This window comes from Homo sapiens, chromosome 3 (genome assembly GCF_000001405.40).
Source record: "Homo sapiens chromosome 3, GRCh38.p14 Primary Assembly".
Taxonomy (NCBI): domain Eukaryota; kingdom Metazoa; phylum Chordata; class Mammalia; order Primates; family Hominidae; genus Homo; species Homo sapiens.
In genome coordinates this window covers 56,741,279-56,760,096 of record NC_000003.12, presented here as the reverse complement: position 1 = coordinate 56,760,096, position 18,818 = coordinate 56,741,279, and the positions used below count along the sequence as shown (strand labels likewise).

Below are 18,818 nucleotides of genomic sequence, written 5' to 3'. Positions count from 1 at the left end.
AGCATGTTCACTGAGGCACTTTTTGTAATAGCCAGACACTGGAAACAATTTTAATGTCCATCAGTTGTGGATTGATTAAATCAATAGGTCTGTCCAGACTATGGGAGGGATACTAATTCTGCAGCCATTAAAAAGAATACGTGAATTTGAGGTAATGGAAATGTTTTGGAACTAAATAGAGATGGTAGTTGTACAACCTTGTGAATATACTAAATAGCACTGAATTGTTCACTAAAAAATGGTTAATTGTAGGCTGGGCACAGTGGCTCATGCCTGTAATCCCAGCAGTTTGGGAGGCTGAGGCGGGAGGATCTCTTGAGACCAGAAGTTCAAGACCAACCTGGGCAACACAGCAAGACCCCATGTCTACTAAATCAAAAATACAAAAGTTAGCCAGGCACTTGCTTAGCGGTGGCACTCATCTATAATCTCAGCTACTCAAGAGATTGAGGTGGAAGCATCACTTGAGCCCATGAGTTTGAGGTTACAGTGAGATATGGTTGCACCACTGCACTCCAGTATGGGCAACAGAGCAAGACCCATCTCCAAAAAAACAACAACGAAAAAGTAATTGAGTTATGTAAATTTCACCTCAAGATACTGTCAAGTAGAAAGAGAAAACATTCTCGGCCAGGCGCGGAGGCTCACGCCTGTAATCCCAGCACTTCGGGAGGCCAAGGCAGGCGGATCACGAGGTCAGGAGATCGAGACCAACATGGTGAAACCCCATCTCTACTAAAAATACAAAAAAATTAGCTGGGCCTGGTGGCGGGCTCCTGTAGTCCCAGCTACTTGGGAGGCTGAGGCAGGAGAATGGTGTGAACCCAATAGGCAGAGCTTGCAGTGAGCCGAGATCGTGCCACTGCACTCCAGCCTGGGCGACAGAGCGAGACTCCATCTCAAAAAAAAAAAAAAAAAAAAATTCAGTTTTCTATGAATGTTAACAAATGCATGGAAAAAGTTTGGAAAGAGCTAGAACAAACTTAACAGTTGTTACTTCTAGGAGATAGACTTGGGGAAATGAGGGCATTTGTACTTAATTTTATATACTTTTGTAATGTATGAGAATTTAAAGTTAGCATACATTATTTTCAAACTGGTAGGGGGAGTTTAAAGTTAGCCAAGGACTGAAAATATAACAGGATAGGAGGTTGATTCTCTCAAGTGAAAGTGGAAACTTTCATTTTGAAGTTTTTGTGTGTGTTTCCTTTCTTTCTGCTCTTTAATTCTTAACTCAGCTGCCATCAGAACTGCAAACTGGGTTGAGCAAGTTACTTAATGACTCACTGCACTTGTTTTGACCTTTTAATGCTTGTGGCTAATTGATTCCGAGTGCTGGCGATCTGTGTGCATTTAGTTCCTGGTTACTGTTTACAAGGGACTGTTTTTAAGAGATCACAAGGATTTGTAAGATACCATTAGTGAACTGTGTATTTGGTGCAAGTACTTTCTTGACCTGCATAGGGCTGGTCCAGCCATCATGAGCTCATTAGTGAGCCCAGGAGCACCCCCACTACTTGTGCCAGCCTAAGGGGCTTGTGTTGCTACTTGCAGAGTGAGCGTCCTGCTTCCAGAAGGTTGTGGTAATACCCTGAAGCTCTTTGGAAGTTTCTTTTTACATTTTTCATTTATTCTTACATATATATCTATATATATTTTTTTAATTTAGAACTGAAATGAGGTCTTGCTACGTTGCCCAGAGTGGTCTCGAACTCCTCAGCTCAAGCCATCCGCCTGCCTTGGCTTCCCGAAGAACTGGGATTACAGACATGAGCCACCAAGCCCCGCCTCATTTTCTATTTTTTTTTTTTTCCTTTAGAGGGAGTCTTGCTCTGTCGCCCAGGCTGGAGTACAGTGGCGCAATCTCAGCTTACTACAATCTCCACTTCACGGGTTCAAGCAATTCTTCTGCCTCAGCTTCCCAAGTAGCTGGGATTACAGGCACCTACCATCACGTCCAGCTAATTTTTTTTGTATTTTTAATAAAGACAGGGTTTCACCATGTTGTTCAGGCTGGTCTTGAACTCCTGACCTCAGGTGATCCGCCCGCCTCAGCCTCCCAAAGTGCTGGGATTACAGGCGTGAGCCACCACGCCCGGCCATTTTAGACACTTTGGGAGGCCGAGGCGGGCGGATCACGAGGTCAGGAGATGGAGACCACCCTGGCTAACACAGTGAAACCCCGTCTTTTCTAAAAATACAAAAAATTAGCCGGGCGTGGTGGCAGGTGCCTGTAGTCCCAGCTACTTGGGAGGCTGAGGCAGGAGAATGGTGTGAACCCGGGAGGCGGAGCTTGCAGTGAGCTGAGACTGCGCCACTGCACACCAGCCTGGGCGACAGAGCAAGACTCCATCTCAAAACAAAAAAAAAAGGCTAAAAATATATAAAGGAGGACAGAAATCACTCATAATGTCAACATGAAACAACAATAGAATTTTGTGATGTTCCCTTTATATCTTTGCTCATGTGCATTTTTTGCATAACTATAAAATGTTCACATATAGATTTTTAATCCTGATTTTATTTTAGGCTACATAGAAGGGGTGTTTACATTTTAAATTATCTCTGAATTGTCTAGATAATATTCCATCCAGCAGGTAATTATAACTTTTTTTTTTTTCTGAGACGGAGTCTCACTCTTGTCGCCCAGACTGGAGTGCAGTGGCACGATCTTGGCTCACTGCAATCTCCGCCTCCTGGGTTCAAGCGATTCTCCTGCCTCAGCCTCCTGAGTAGCTGGGATTACAGGCACATGCCACCACGCCCCGGCTAATTTTTGTACTTTTAGTAGAGACGGGGTTTCACCATGTTGGCCAGGCTGGTGTCAAACTGCTGACCTCAGGTGACCCACCCACCTCGGCTTCCCAAAGTGCTGGGATTACAGGCGTGAGCCACTGTGCCCAGCCACTTACAACTTATTTAACAATGCCCTTATGTTGAATAGTTCCTTTTAAAATTTTTCTTTACTTTCTGGAATTTTATTGTTGAATCTCAAAATAACTGGGAACTACCTTAGAATGCCTTTGTGATGAAGGCTCATATGTCATAAGCAAATTCAATTCCTGACCTCAGGAAGTTTCTAGTTAAGAGCAGGTGACCAATAATTATAATCAAGTATGATCATTGCTATATCAGAAGTATGTCTGAATTGCTCTGGGGGAGGAGGATGGGAGAATGTTGGTGAAGACTTCTTAGAGGAGGTGCTGTTTGAGTTACATCCCGAGGGCAGTTAAGAGTTAGCCAGCTATGGCCGGACACAGTGGCTCATGCCTGTAATTCCAGCACTTCGGGAGGCCGAGGCGGGCGGATCACGAGGTCAGGAAATCGAGAGCATCCTGGCTAACATGGTGAAACCCTGTCTCTACTGAAAATACAAAAAATTAGCCGGGCGTGGTGGCGGGCGCCTGTAGGCCCAGCTACTCAGGAGGCTGAAGCAAGAGAGTGGCGTGAACCCAGGAGGCGGGGCTTGCAGTGAGCCGAGATCGCACCACTGTACTCCAGCCTGGGCGACAGAGCAAGACTCTGTCTCAAAAAAAAAAAAAAAAAAAAAAGCCAGCTATGAAGTGATGGAAACACATTCCAGGAAGAGAAGATTGTTTGAAGGGAGTACAGAGGGATGGCAAAGCATGACATATTTAGGGAATGACAGATAGCCTAGTATGGTTGGAGAAATGGAGGCTCATGGATGAGTGGCAGGATGGGATCCTAAATATGGAGACTGTGGTCAGATTACAAGAGACTTCCTGTGCCAAGATGAGGAGTTGAAACTTCCTGCTGAAGGCCACAGAGAGCCATGGCAGGGAACACTTCCTAAATAACAATGTGGTTTTGGAGCACAGCAACCTCATTGCTTTGGCAAAGTCTCCAATAAGTGTGATGAAATCTTCTAGGATGAAGACTGAAAATGATGCACTCAGCTTTCTTCTGGATCATTTGTATTTGTCATGAAAAGCATTTTGGTAGCATGTTTAAGTCACACAGGTGGACTTCTGCGGCCTCTTTGGGAAATAGGAAAATACCTCAGGGACAGGAATCATGTGCTGCAAAGATGGTATTTAGTATGTGTATTAGTCAGGACTTTTCAAGTTGACAGAACCCCAACTGAGATAATAGAAAGGGAAATGTCTTTCTATATGTAATGAAAATGTCTAAGGGTGGTTCTTTCTGGTTTCAGGCACAGTGGGATCCAGAGGCTCAAGCAGTATTGGTAAAGCTTGCTCCCTTCCTGCCTCCATTGGTCACTCCATCCTTCATTCTGGGTCTCTTTATTCTCTCCTGTAGCAGACAGATGCTTCTGTGTAACTAGGGAGAGTTGCTGCTGGAAGGCCCTGCTTGTGTTCTCTCTTGAACTCACAATCCCAAAGGAATACTCTTTCCTCCTTTCTCCCGTAACTCATGTGACAAATTTCAGGGAATCACATGCCCATCCCTGAACTAGGATGGTGGAATACTCTATTGGTCAGGTCTGGGGGTGCCCACCAAAACTATATGTAATAGGATACCCAAAGTTAGTGGGATTCTATTTATAGAAGGAGGAGAGTAGGAGTACTGGCCAAATGTTTGAATAAATAAAGGCCATCCACTATTGTTATCTCTGGTTCTTTTAAAGAGGGGAGATGTCCACTGGAAAAAAGTAGAGCTCATCACGTATCCAAGAACTGCCTTCATGCGTGAGTTTGGCCTGATATGTGCTTGCACTATAGTCCACTTGGTATCCAGGTCACACAGAACAGATACTCCCAGCACATGTTCCAAAGCAGCCCCCTGTCCAATTTTCCTTAGCACGTAGGCTCAAGACAATGCCCCACTTCCCAAAGGCCTTGTGGCAATGTCCTCTTTTTCTTTCACATATATGATTTATGTTCCGTCAACGACAGGAAACTGCTCAAAGATCCACCCAGTCCTGCCGCTGCCCCCGTGATGGTTTGTTTTTCTCATTGTTTAGCGCTCCATTAGCTTCCGCAGTGAGAGCCGCCCTGACATCCTCGCCCCCCGACCCTGGTCCAGAAATGCCGCCCCCTCGAGCACGAAACGGAGAGATAGCAAGCTGTGGAGTGAGACCTTCGATGTGTGCGTCAATCAGATGCTTACATCCAAGGAAATCAAACGTCAGGAGGTAGGCTCGGGGCCCATGGAGCTGGCTGTGTGTCTGGAACAAAGGTGCATTGCAGCGTCAGCCATGCTGGAATTTGCGCCTTAGTCTCCAAATCAATTCTTCATTGCGTTTGCAGAAGGATAAACAAGAGTGTCTGACCTTGGGGAAGGAACTGAGAAACCAGAAACCAGCTGGGAGGGTGTGGCCCCCACTTTAAAAAGAAACTGATGTGAAAATATGAATTTACAAGAAGATGAAACCAAGTGTCTATTTAGGATTCTGAAGTTCACAAAAATAATCATTTTAGTTATATTTTGTTAGCAACTTATAGACTATTTTAAAATATTTAGTTTACATAGCTTTGATTCAGCTTCATGGAAAACTTCCTTTCTATAGAATCCAGTTAATTTCATTCCCGGTAAGTTTTCTGTATCAGTTGCCCTAAATGACTCTGATAATATTACCCTGTATAGAAGAGCTTGTTTAAGTGCTTGTGCCAGGCTGTGCTGAGCACTTCATGTGTGCATCATCTGATGAGATCCTTGGAGTATCCAGCTCAGGGTTGTGCCTCCACCTGCTTTGTCCTCAGTTTACCAAGCAGCCCCAGGTGGAGGGAGCTTTCAAAGCCTGACCACTGTTTCCCTATATCCTGAAACACAGTAGACCCTGAAATATCGTTACAAACTTGTACTCCTTTAATAATGTAATGTTTGCTGACAGTTTGACTTCCCAGATGGAAGTGAAAGAGTGTTCTGTGCATCATAGCTCTTTAGCATGATGGCTTAATAGAGCCAAATTAGAAACGGTCCATTTACCTACTCTTCCACACAGCCAGCGCCTATAATTTTATTTGTTGTACCTGTGGGGCTGAGAAGTGGTTTAGAATGAATTAACTTCACCAGGTTGTATTTGGAGTGATAAAATGTTGGATTCTTCCTACAATCTCAGCCTCAAGGCAGTGGATAATACAAATAAAACTTTCTGCTGAGATTCGCCTTCTGTCGAGTAGAAGAAAAAGTGGGGATGGCCCAGTTAATAATACTGCCACATCCATTATCTAGAAGAGCCTCTGAATCACTTCTTATGATGGCCTCTCACAACAAGGGTACCAAATCCATGGCTCACACTGTAATTATTTTACCTAAAATAGTTCCCTCTTGTTCAGCTGCATCAAAGTTCTGTAACATGAAAGATGACTTTTTGGACTAGAAATGTGTAGAAACTTTCTCCCACAAACAGAGAAGCACAATATGCAGCAGTTTTGCAATATCTTTTCATTGCAGGTTTAAGCATAGATGCATTTGCTTCAGGTTAACGTAACTTAAAATACTTAAATATGTAAATTTGGGGTTTTGAGTGGTGGAGCCAGCACTATTTGAATATGGTCTTGTAAATGAAGGGAGAATTCAGTGAATATGTTTATCTTTCCTTGCAGGCGATCTTTGAGCTTTCCCAAGGAGAAGAAGACTTGATAGAAGACTTGAAATTAGCAAAAAAGGTAAATTTAAATCCAGCAGTCACTTGAGTCAAGTCACATTTTTTTTCTTGAGTAATTTCACAACCCTAAAGTGGTGCTTCGTGAGAACTGTCTTTATGACTAAGACTGGTCTGCTACCACACACCAAGCAGTGGGGAAAGTGTTTCAAAACAAGAGGGCAGAATAGCTCTCCAGACCTGGCACCTTTAGGGGTTTACCTCTGTATGTCTCTAATGCATGTCAAAGAATACTTCAGCCTAAATCAGAAAGTGTCCATGGAGGCCTCGCCTTATGTATATTTCATTGTCCTAGAAGTCTCATATGTAGGACTCTTTGCCCATAGGAGAGAATGTGTGCATGTCTGAAACTTGAACTGAGTCTTAGAAATAAAGCCATTTGAATCTCAAAAGTGAATAAAGTGAAATGAGGCAATTGCATACTATCATATAAGTTGGGGTCTTTTATATAGGAATTTGTTTTCTAATCAACATTTTGTGTGGGGAGGAGGAGGACAACAAACCTTCCTCAAAAACATTTTCGTTCCAGTGGCACAGCCCCCCAACTCCATGGCTTGGAGGCTAAAATCCAGACTCCTTCATCTGATATTCACAGCCTCCTCGAAGAATCACAGGGTTGGAAGGCTACATCCCTTCTTTTAAGGGTTTTTAGTCTTTCTGCTAAGATGAAATTCCACCTCTAGCATTCCTGAGAGATGGCCACCCAAGCTTTGCTTGGACACAGCCAAGAAACTGAGTTTTAGGCAGAGCTGGAGGAGGAGGAGATCAGAGAGGACAAAGAAGTTATTTCACTCTGAGAGTTATCATGCTGGTGTCTAACTCCCCTTTCCTGCATCAAGATTTGCCAAACTCAAGCACCTTCAGGTGTTTCCCAGCCATCCTTTTGCTTATGGTGGCCCTACCTTCCTAGAAACTTTTCTCTTTCGTTTCAACCATTCATATCCACCCATCCTTCAGGAACCAGCTCAAATCTCAGTTTATTCTTACATAACATTTATTGCCTCCTTCTCTGTACCAAGCAGCTTATCTTCAAAACTTCCCTTGGCCACTCCAGCTTTAATTCTCTGACCTTCTAGAGCAGTTTTGATTTGATGGCTTTTTGCTGTCTTGTGACATCAGTCTGGTTTTTAATCTTTAATTTTTAAACATAAGCCGGGTCCGGTGGCTCACACCTATAATCCCGACACTTTGGGAAGCTGAGGCAGAAGGATCACTTGAGGTCAGGAGTTCAAGACCAGCCTGGCCAACATGGTGAAACCCTGTCTCTACTAAAAAATACAAAAATTAGGCTGGGTGCTGTGGCTCACGCCTGTAATCCCAGCACTTTGGGAGGCCGAGGCGGGCAGATCACGAGGTCAAGAGATCAAGACCATCCTGGCCAACATGGTGAAACCCTGTCTCTACTAAAAAGTACAAAAAAAAAAAGAAAAAAATATTTTTTAAACATAGATTTAGTTTTCCATGAGATCAGAAACTAAAATATAAACTAGAAAATATTTTAGTTTTTCTTATCTTCCCCATTAGCTTTATAAAATTCCTTGAAGGTAGGAGACTTTTAAGTCTTTGTGTTCTATTTTAGTGCCCTGGGTATAACTGTGTATTCTTGTTGTTTAATTTTCTCTAGTAAGAGGTGATAGGATTATCACCTTTGCTCTCTTTGTTCAAATCAGTAGTAAAGGATACCAATCACTGTTTCTTTCCTCTTTTTCTTTATTTTAAATATGTACTAATTGAAAAAAGAATCTGCTAGTAGCTAGTTTTGAATAAAGTGGGATTTTTTTAAGAGGCAGGATCTTGATTTTGAAAACATTTTAACAGTCAAATCTGTTCTATACCTAGGATTTGTGCTCTTTCCTAGATATATGACATACTAGAATAAAAAAGCTTTTGAAAAATCTGCTTTGGTTTATCAACCACAAAGGCTTAAGGCAGTGCTGGTTTCTCCTCTCCTCCAGCCACACCTCTCTGCTGTTTCTGCAGCTTTATGGGAGAAGTTGTTAGAGAGCCAGAAGTTTTGTTATTGGATAGGACCTCTCAGGAGCCACTTACATGAACAATGTACTTCCTCTGATTTTAAACATGTGCTTCCATCTCTTGCCGTTTTTGTGCAGGCCTATCATGACCCCATGCTGAAACTCTCCATAATGACAGAACAAGAGTTGAATCAAATTTTTGGAACACTGGACTCTCTAATTCCTCTACATGAAGGTATAATTTTGTTCCCAGGATGAGTCGTGACTTGTAGCCTTAACTGAGTTGTCTTATAATGAGTGAGTGATTATTAATTGCCTGCAATGTGAATAACCCAGAACCTACTTCCAGCCCTGTTCATATTTGAATGCCTAACAAATAAGCATCTGTTTGTTTTTTGCCAGAGCTCCTTAGTCAGCTTCGAGATGTTAGGAAGCCTGATGGCTCGACTGAACATGTTGGTCCCATCCTCGTGGGCTGGGTAAGAAAGTTCTCTGGTCTTTATTGAAGATAAATTTCAATAATATAGATGGGAGTTTCATTTTAGCTAGACTTTTTTTATTTTTATTTTTATTTTTTTACAAATGTTGGTTTCACATCAGAAAAAAAAATCCTAGTAAAATTTTAATTAAATTTAAGTTTTGTATCTTTAAAGCATGAAAATAGTTTTTTTCTTATTACAAATTTATTGCATTTAAAAGTAACAGGGCCTTTTGGAACAAAATAAGTAAAGGTACACATGAAACTATTACTAGTTTCGTATCAAAATAAAACTAGTTAATATTCCGTCAGGCCAATCGCTAACATAATATACTCCAATAAAAATTTATTGACATATATCCACTACCAAAAAAAAAAAAAAAAAACTTGTCATGCTATTAAAAAAAAATTCTCATGGTCAAAATGCAGTTTTATAAACAAGATCATAAGTAAAGGTTGCTAATGTTTAGCATATTAAAAAAAACTTTTTAGGCCATAAAAAAAATCTCATGGTCAAAATGTAGTTTTATAAACAAGATAATAAGTAAAGGTTGCTAATGTTTAGCATATATACCATGCTAAGTAATTTATAGGAGAGCTGGGTATATGGTGACCTTCATCCTAATATAATCCATTCCTTTTCCTAATTAAATAAAAAGAAGTAAGCTGTGATCTTAGATTAGGAGTCATAAATTTATGATCCTGGGGCTGGATTTGTGTTTTATTGTGTACTTAAAGTTGTTTGTTTCACTTACGCTAGACAAGGCGTGTGCTCTTATTTTGCCTCAGTCCCCACCGCTCCCTATTCTACACATTTATGTTTCCTTCTGTGAGTGCTTGAATGGTCCACCCCAGTTCCAGGTGTTTTTCATTTGTTATAAAGCAGATAATGAGAGGAGATTACTTTGCTGACTTATTCCAGGCAAGATTAGGTCTCTCATCACTCTGTTGCTCACAGTATTCCAGAAAAATAGGCAGGAAGTACCACAACAGCTAATATTAGAGATTATTTCACTGTTTGGAGAGTGTTGTGAAGGTTATAAATCCTACTGTTGCTATGTGAGTTCTCTTTATTCCGTTACATCTGCATTTTAATCTTCCTAAAACCTTTCAGTTAACATGCCTTGATAACACATAGATGTGCAGAAAGTTTTAACATTGATCTTTTAACTTACGTTTCTCAATGACTGCCTTGATCAAGATACTTGATGAGAGTTTCATGACTTAAATAGCTTTAGTTCAGGAGTCAATTTTAGCACCAAGGCTGAAATATCCCAAAGGTATCCGAAAGGCAAGTAATGTTCTAAGATGAATAATTTAGAAAATATGCCTTAATATTTCAAGAGAGATCATTCATCTTATATTTTTGACTTTCATTTTATTATGAGCCATCGTAGATGTTTTAACTTCTTTAGCCCACAAAGAAATTTCTCCAAAGAGAGCCAGCCAACCGGAGACAGACAGAGACAAAGAAGGTATAATGAGTAGAGAGTGCCTCAGTGTCTCTTAAACTTCCTGAGTCTGTGGACTGCTTTGATATGGGGGTAAATGGAGCAGTTAGGCCACACTCCAGAATTTGTAGGATAACTCCTCTGCTTTTGATGAGACAGCAGTACAGGACTACATGGTTTCCTTAAGCATCATATGCAAATTGTCAGTTTATGCCAGAAGCAAAATTGTAGGAATTTGCCTTGTTAGTAACTTTTTGCTGAAATAAACATTTGTCACGTTTATTAGAAAATTGGTTTGATCTGGGAGCAGCTTTGCAGTCATTTTCTGTACATACCCAAAGGAAGTGTGACCATGCTGGCCCATTGCTATCTGGATGCTTCAGACATCAAATGAGGACTTGGATCTTGAAGAGCAGCCTAAAATTAAACAACTGGCCCGTTGTTGCCAGACTTCGTGAGAAATGGCCCTTATTTATCAGGCCTGACAAGCTGTTAAATGTTTTTCCTCTTTTAACTGCAGATGTGTCCGTCTGAGTGGGAACAGTAAACCTAGGGGTACATATGTTTGAGTTCTTGTATTTTTAACAGAACAAAATAAACATCTTAGTGGACTTTGGATGAGAAGAGTCCCATTCGACCCATGAAAAATTGATTTATTTTCTCCGCAAAGGAAAAAAGGGGGGTGGGGGGGAACCCTTTTAAACAAGTGAGCCTTCCAAGTGGGACAGCCCTGGCCAGTCCTTTTGACCTTAGAATGAATCAATTACTTTTACTTTGAAGACCTTAAACAGAGTGGTTGCTTTTTTTCAGGGAACTACCCCGGTTACTGAGAATCAGTGTCCCCGCTCCCTAATGGGTCAGCCTGTTTGAGTAAGCCTTCCCTAGCATAAAGAAACAACTTCCCAAGTGACTTATCTCTATGCCAACGTTTTTTCAATGATGAAATACTTTATAAGCTCTCCAAGGCAGAAAGTTCTCATGTTAATTTGTTGTCTCACTAAATTTTAATTCCCAGGAAAGAGCCAGAGTACATGGAAGCAAAAAAAAAAAAAAAAATAGATTTTTTCACAATATTAGGGGGATAAAAGAACTTCTTTAAAAAGTGAGTTTCCCTTATAAATTCTTGATAGTCTATTTAATAAAGAGATGGTGAATAGTTCAGAACTCTGAGGGTAAAGGGGAAGCAAGAACAAGCTTCAGACTCTCGTTTTGTCTCCAGCTGAGCAAGTAGCTTTGGTTCTCTAAACGACAGTTTCTTCAATAAAAATATTCTAGGGCCCAAGCACAGTGGCTCACGTCTGTAATCCCAGCACTTTGGGAGCCTGAGGCGGGTGGATCTCTTGAGCCCAGGAGTTGGAGACCAGCCTGGGCAACATGGCGAAACCCTGTCTCTACAAAAAAAATATTAGCTGGCATGGTGGTGCATGCCTGTAGCCCTAGCTATTTGAGAGGCTGAGGAGGGAGAATTGTTTGAGCCTGGGAAGAAGAGGCTGCAGTAAGCCATGATCATGCCACTGCTCTCCACCTGAGCAACAAAGGGAGACCCTATCTCGAAAACAAAGAACTTCTTGGGACAAGTAATAATAGCTAGTACTTACTGATTCTATATCAGAAGCCAAGCTCCATGCTACACATTTTGTATGCTTTACCTCATTAAGGGAGAGGGGGACATTAGTATATACATTTTGTAGGTGGAGACACTGAGGCTTGGAAGAGTCACTGACAGCTGTGTGAGTTAGGCTTTGAACCTGATTCTCCCTATTACTGAGTCTGTCCTTTTTTCCGAGACAGTCTCTCTCTGTCGCCAAGGCTGGAGTGCAGTGATGTGATCTCAGTTCATTGCAACCTTTGGCTTCTGGGTTCAAGCGATTCTTGTGACTCAGCCTCCCAAGAAGCTGGGATTACAGGCATGCACCACTATGCCCGGCTAATTTTTATATATTTTAGTAAAGACGGGATTTTGCCACGTTGCCCAGGCTGGGCTCAAACTCCTGACCTCAAGTGCCTCCCAAAGTAATATGATTACAGGCGTGAACCACCGCACCCGGCCTAGTCTCTTTAACTGCATTTTCACCTCTCATTCTGAATAAGGGAGTGTCTGTATTTGAGAACCAGATCTTGTACATTATTCACCCTGTGTAGTTAAAGATCACTTGGGGCCTCTCCTAGCCGGTGACTGAACCAGATAGCCTTTCAGGTCATGCCCAGGAAATGAGCACCCTGTCAGGTGAGAGCACAGGACCAGAGCCCCATTTGGTTGCCATGGTAGCAGGGCAGCAGGATCACAGGGAGCAGTGGCCCATTGGACAGTGAGCAGCAGTGTGGTCGAGGTTCCTCACTAGTTTACATCCAATGGTTACTGCTGATTTGTTTCTTCCTAATGAAAACATTGGGCATTTCCAGATCTTTTTAAAAGGTGAGGAAGTGGAAATTAAATGAAGAGGGCCTGAGGCCCTTTTTAATTAACTCTGAAAGTCTAAATTACAAGCCACAGTACCACGTTTGGGTTCTCTCTCTCTCTCTCTCTCTCTCTCTCTCTCTGTGTGTGTGTGCGCGCATGTATAAGTACCAATTATCATTACTTTCAAATAATAATAGCTAGTACTTACACAAATATAAGGTTGAGGGAAAAAATGTCTGCAACTCTTTAACACAAGTAGAGATTTTTAATAACATGTAAGGAAGGTAGACATTTCAAAGGAATGTTAAGCTCAATAGTAAGCTTGTAAAATATTACTTTCCTGGTATCCTTTTTATGGTTTCAGTCACTGAGGAAATAATTTCAATAAGAGGTGTAAAAGCTGCAGCAGAGTATTTAAAGTTTCAGATGCTGCCATACTTTATTTATTTTTATGTATTTATTTATTTTTTTTTTTGAGACAGAGTCTCACTCTGTTGCCAAGGCTGGAGAGCAGTGGCATGATCTCGGCTCACTGCAACCTCTGCCTCCCGGGTTCAAGAGAGTCTCCTGCCTCAGCCTCCTGAGTAGCTGGGATTACAGGTGTGTGCCACCATGCCTGGCTAATTTTTGTATTTTTAGTAGAGATGGGGTTTCACCATGCTGGCCAGGCTGGTCTTAAACTCCTGACCTCGTGATCCGCCTGCCCCGGCTTCCCAATGTGCTGGGATTACAGGCACGAGCCACTGCGCCTGGCCGCCATACTTTATTTTTAAGCAAGGTTCACAAACCATCAAATATTACCTAATCTTGTAATCCATTAAACATGCATTTATTTGTTCATTCAGAACACAGAGTGTCTGCCATATAGTAGGCCCAATGCAAAGTAGTGAGGATACAGAAATGAAAGACACTCCTTTGCCAGTGTCTTGCACTGAATCCCTCTGAAGAGCAGGTGTTACAAGGGACTAGGGCTTCCTAGTACAAGAGAAAGAAACAAAAGCAGTTAGGCCATTGGCTGCATTTGATTGCTTCTGGTAACTTTCTGGAGGCTGATAGCTCTTAGATTAGAACACCAAGGCAGAAAAAGTGGATGAGAAGCCTTTTCCGTTGAATCTCTGACATGGTATTTGCACAGTGTGACTGATGGGATGTGTCAGAGAAATTAGCATTTTGCTAGAATGAAGGCAGTGAAGGTTAAATGTTCCAAAGTCTTTAAGCTTAAATTGTTCGTTACATAGTATTGTACAGGCTCACGCCTGTAATCTCAGCACTTTGGGAGGCCGAGGCGGGCGGATCACGAGGTCAGGAGATGGAGACTATGCTGGCTAACACGTTGAAACCCCATCTCTACTAAAAATACAAAAAATTATCCGGGCATGGTGGCGGGCGCCTGTAGTCCCAGCTACTCAGGAGGCTGAGGCAGGAGAATGGCGTGAACCCGGGAGGTGGAGCTTGCAGTGAGCCGAGATAGTGCCATTGCACACCAGCCTGGGTGACAGAGCGAGACTCCGTCTCAAAAAAAAAAAAATTGCTTTGTGAAAGCAAGCCAGAGCCTAAGAAAATTGTCCACTGCCTGCCATGTTGAAGATTCCACTAGTTTCCTCCAGCCATGCAGATAAAGGAATGTCAGCCAGACCCAGAGACCAGTTAGGTGTTTGTTCAGTCCCAATAAATGATGCCACCGTAGCCTCAGAGCTCAATTATTTTGACATTCCAACCTTCTCTTTCTGTTTCCTTCTTAGCTCCCTTGCCTCAGCTCCTATGATAGCTACTGCAGCAATCAAGTAGCCGCCAAAGCTCTGCTGGACCACAAAAAGCAAGATCACCGAGTCCAGGATTTCCTACAGCGATGTTTAGAATCCCCCTTTAGCCGCAAACTAGATCTCTGGAATTTCCTCGATATTCCAAGAAGCCGCCTGGTAAAATACCCTCTGCTTCTCCGAGAAATCTTGAGGCACACACCAAATGATAATCCAGATCAGCAGCACTTGGAAGAAGCTGTAAGTTTGTCTGTTTCCTTCTCTCTCTTCTTGTTATTTCCACCATAATGGCTGGTGGATTGGGTCAGTGGGTGAATGGAAGAGTCCCTGGGTACTTAGTACTCAGGAATCTTGGGTTCCAGGCCTGGCACTGCCATCAACCATGTTTTGATTTTGCAAGTCACTTCTCATCTTTCTGCCTCAGTTTCCTAAACTGTAAAATGCAGTGCTTACATGAAACACGCTGTAAGGTCCCTTAGTAAAATTCTTAATTTTATACAGGTGACTCTAATCTGGTGTTACAGTTGCTGTCTGTGAGGGACAAGATCTTTGTGTATATTTTAAATTTTGTTTAGTTAGAAAATAGTAAGTTGCCTTTTAGCCTAGCCCCAAAACTCATTTGTGAAGTGGACATCCATTTAAAATCTAGCTCCATTTAGCCCCCGATTACAGTGGCTTGCCTTGTCAAACCTCCTGCTCACTAGTGGGATCCTCACTCAGCAAATGTTTGTTGAGTGTGGGCCAGGCACGATGGCTCATGCCTGTAATCCCAGCACTTTGGGAGGCCGAGGTGGGCAGATCACTTGAAGCCAGGAGTTCAAGACCAGCCTGGCCAAAAAAGCAAAACCCTGTCTCTACTAAAAATACAAAAAAAAAAAATTAGCTGGGCGAGGTGGCATATGCCTATAATCCCAGCTACTCAGGAAGGTGAGGCACAAGAATCGCTTGAGCCTGGGAGGTGGAGGTTGCAGTGAGCTGAGATCACGCCACTGCAACTCCAGCCTGGGCAACAGAGTGAGACTCTTGTCTCAAAAAAAAAAAAAAAAAGGTTTATTGAGTGTGGGCTGGGTAATCTGGGAAATATATATTTTTCCCTAGCAGCAATAGAAGACGAGGAAAAATGGGGTGCACATCATGAGAATATTGTAAACTGTGAGCATTCCACCCAGAGAGCACCGTTCTGGTTGAGGTACTCTGCATGGTAGAGATGGCAGATGGCAGGCCACGGGGAGCGGGTGGCCTGAGCAAAGGTATAAGGAAATGACAGGACAGGTCGTGCCTGGGGAATATCATGGATCAGTTGGCCTGGGGTTAGGGGTCCTCTGAGAAAGCAGCAGGAGAGAAGACAGAGGATGTGGGTTCAGATCTGGTTATAGAGGTTTTTAAATATCAATTTAAGAGATTTTTTCCTTTGTCATGCAATTAATTGAAGTTTTTTTTTTGTTTGTTGGTTGGTTTCTAAGTAGCTGGGATTCAGGATTCAAATCCCAGCTCCATCATTTACAAGCTCTGTAACCTTGGACACATACTCTTGGTAGAACAAGGGACTGAGGAGGAAGAGACTGGTGATAGGGATGCAAGTTGGGAGGATGCTGTCCAGGTGTGAAAACCTGATCAAGGAGGTGGCAGTGGGGATAGAGGCTAGCAGACCATTCAAAGGGCTCATTTTCTGATTTAATCTGGGACAATAATAGAAGGAGGATATGCATAGGTAATTTGAAAATCAGAAACCTTGAACCTGCTGAGCAAACTGCCTATTTCCTCCCAGATAGGGGTTTAATAATAAGTAGTAGTAACAACAATCATGGTAATAATTGCTGGCATTGAGTATCTAGTAAATCAACTTTATGTAATTTGCCTCATAGGTTATGTATCTCATTTAACCGTCACAACAGCCTAGGAGATAGCTGTTCTTATTAGGACCATTTTCCAGATGAGGCTTAGAGGGGTTAAATAGCTTGCCCAGGTCCACAGCCAGCAAGTGATGCAGTTGATGTTCAAACCCTGTCAGTGTAGACTCCAAATCCTGTGCCCTTCAACTTCTTTATGATTCTATACCTTGATGCAGAAAGCCTGCCCACTACTTTGAGTTTCTGTTGCCTTTGTAATTGTGGAGAGCTGTCTGGTCACCAGCCTCACTGGTGCAGAACTGGGCTGGGTGCCTCCAAGTAGGATAGAAAAGAAGAATAAAGGACCCTCTTCTGATTCATGAGGTATTCAATGTATCTGGCAGGCCCAACACAGAGATCAGGCCCCCAGTCCAGCACAGATGGGGGACGCAGTCGCTGGGGTTGAGGCCCATCTCACTTCATCATGTCTGTTTTTATTACTGGGAAGAGTGCGATAGAGTTGCCTCCTTTCCATATTTCATCCCAGCAAGTGTGTGGTCTGCAGGAATAAAAACAACAGGGAGCATGAGCTACTCAAAGTCATGACTTTTTTGAAGCATGGGAGCCTGTTCTGAGTTACTGTAAAGATTTCTTTTTAATATGGAGCATGAAAGAATACTGTTCTGTTTTTTTAAAAAATACCCAGTGAGCTAAAGTTTGAATTTAAAAACAGATAAGAATATGATTGTGTGTAATTCAAAATGATGTGCCAGTAACCAGTTTTCCTAGTGCATAAAGTATGAAGCTGTTTTCAAAAGTTCACTCTGCATCTAGTTATTCAGGCAGATCTGTGCATGAAACATGGTATACCTGCATTTGAAAATGTCTGCAAAGCAAGTCTTCCAAATGCCTACTTACACAGTATACGCACAGGATTTTTTTTTTCCCTTTACAGAATCCTCATAGCATTCATTACCCCACATGAACAGAATTATTTAGCCCTGTACTCTTGGGTGCATTATGAATGTTTGATAAACATAAAACATAAAACAAGCACCAATATAGCTTGACAAATATCCCATGAATAAATTTCCCATCAATGAAAAGGGAAAAATCAGAGAGCGCTAAGTAAATTGCTTCCGTTCCAAGAGAGTTGATTGCATTCATACCTATGATTAGATCTAAAAAGAGGTCTTGCCTTTAATGCAGTGCCTAAATTACCACATCTTTATTAGAATTTCATAATAATGCTTTGAGGGTTGATAAAAATTTTTCTCAAAAGAGAACTTCTTAAAATAGGAGTTTGGATATTCAGATATTCCAGAGAACTTGGTTGTTTAGTGTTTTAAATTCTAAGAATTTTTCGGCCAGAAAATGATCCTGCAGAGCATCCCTTCCCCCCACCTCACCACTATTTCTCAACTCCTAAAAAAAAAAAAAATCACTGAAATCAGTGGGAAAAACAGTCCTGCTTTTGATGCAACAGCCGTGAAGACTGCTATTCTTGGTTCATGGCAGGAGCCAGTGAGTATCATGGCACAAGGGACCAGACAGTCAGGGCTTTCAGAGTCCACTTTGAGGATGATGAGTCCAGCACATGTGAGCTTAATCTCTGTACTGTTACCAGGTATCTCTCATCATCTCCCTTTACCAGTCCCTTCCTTCAGTTTGAACCCAGTGAGAGATGCAACAATAAATTTAATTTAAATGGGCAACTACTGTGACTGTTGACTGGCTATTGGCAGCCTACTGTATGTAACTTTATGCCTCCCTGAAATTCTGCAAAATAAATCTCTCTCAAGAACCAATGCAAAGCTGGGCGCGGTGGCTCACGCCTGTAATCCCAGCACCTTGGGAGGCCAAGGCGGGCAGATCAAGAGGTCAGGAGATCGAGACCATCTTGGCTAACACAGTGAAACCCCGTCTCTACTAAAAATACAAAAAATTAGCTGGGCGTGGTGGCAGGCGCCTGTAGTCCCAGCTACTTGGGAGGCTGAGGCAGGAGAATGGTGTGAACCTGGGAGGCGGAGCTTGCAGTGAGCCGAGATTGCCACTGCTCTCCAGCCTGGGCGACAGGGCAAGACTCCATCTCAAAAAAAAAAAAAAAAAAAAAAAAAAAGAACCAATGTAGAGGCCAGGAGCAGTGGCTCATGCCTGTAATCCCAGCACTTTGGGAGGCCAAGGCAGGCGGATCACCTGAGGTCAGGAGTTCGAGACCAGCCTGACCAACATGGAAAATCCCATCTCTACTAAAAATACAAAATTAGCCGGGCATGGTGGTGCATGCCTGTAATCCCAGCTACACGGGAGGCTGAGGCAAGCGAATCACTTGAACCC

General features: G+C 42.4%; 1 protein-coding gene across 21 annotated transcripts in view; it reads left to right on the top strand.

Moving 5' to 3' along the window:
* The window catches only part of ARHGEF3 (Rho guanine nucleotide exchange factor 3), a 351,849-nt gene that overhangs the window by 319,172 nt on the left and 13,859 nt on the right, over positions 1–18,818 (top strand). For all 21 annotated transcript variants that reach the window (NM_001377411.1, NM_001377410.1, XM_017006503.2 and 18 more), the window contains 5 exons: positions 4,946–5,116; positions 6,531–6,593; positions 8,701–8,797; positions 8,965–9,041; positions 14,635–14,892. In NM_001377411.1, coding sequence (NP_001364340.1) covers positions 4,946–5,116; positions 6,531–6,593; positions 8,701–8,797; positions 8,965–9,041; positions 14,635–14,892 — 666 coding nt within the window. The remainder of the gene's footprint in view (positions 1–4,945; positions 5,117–6,530; positions 6,594–8,700; positions 8,798–8,964; positions 9,042–14,634; positions 14,893–18,818) is intronic.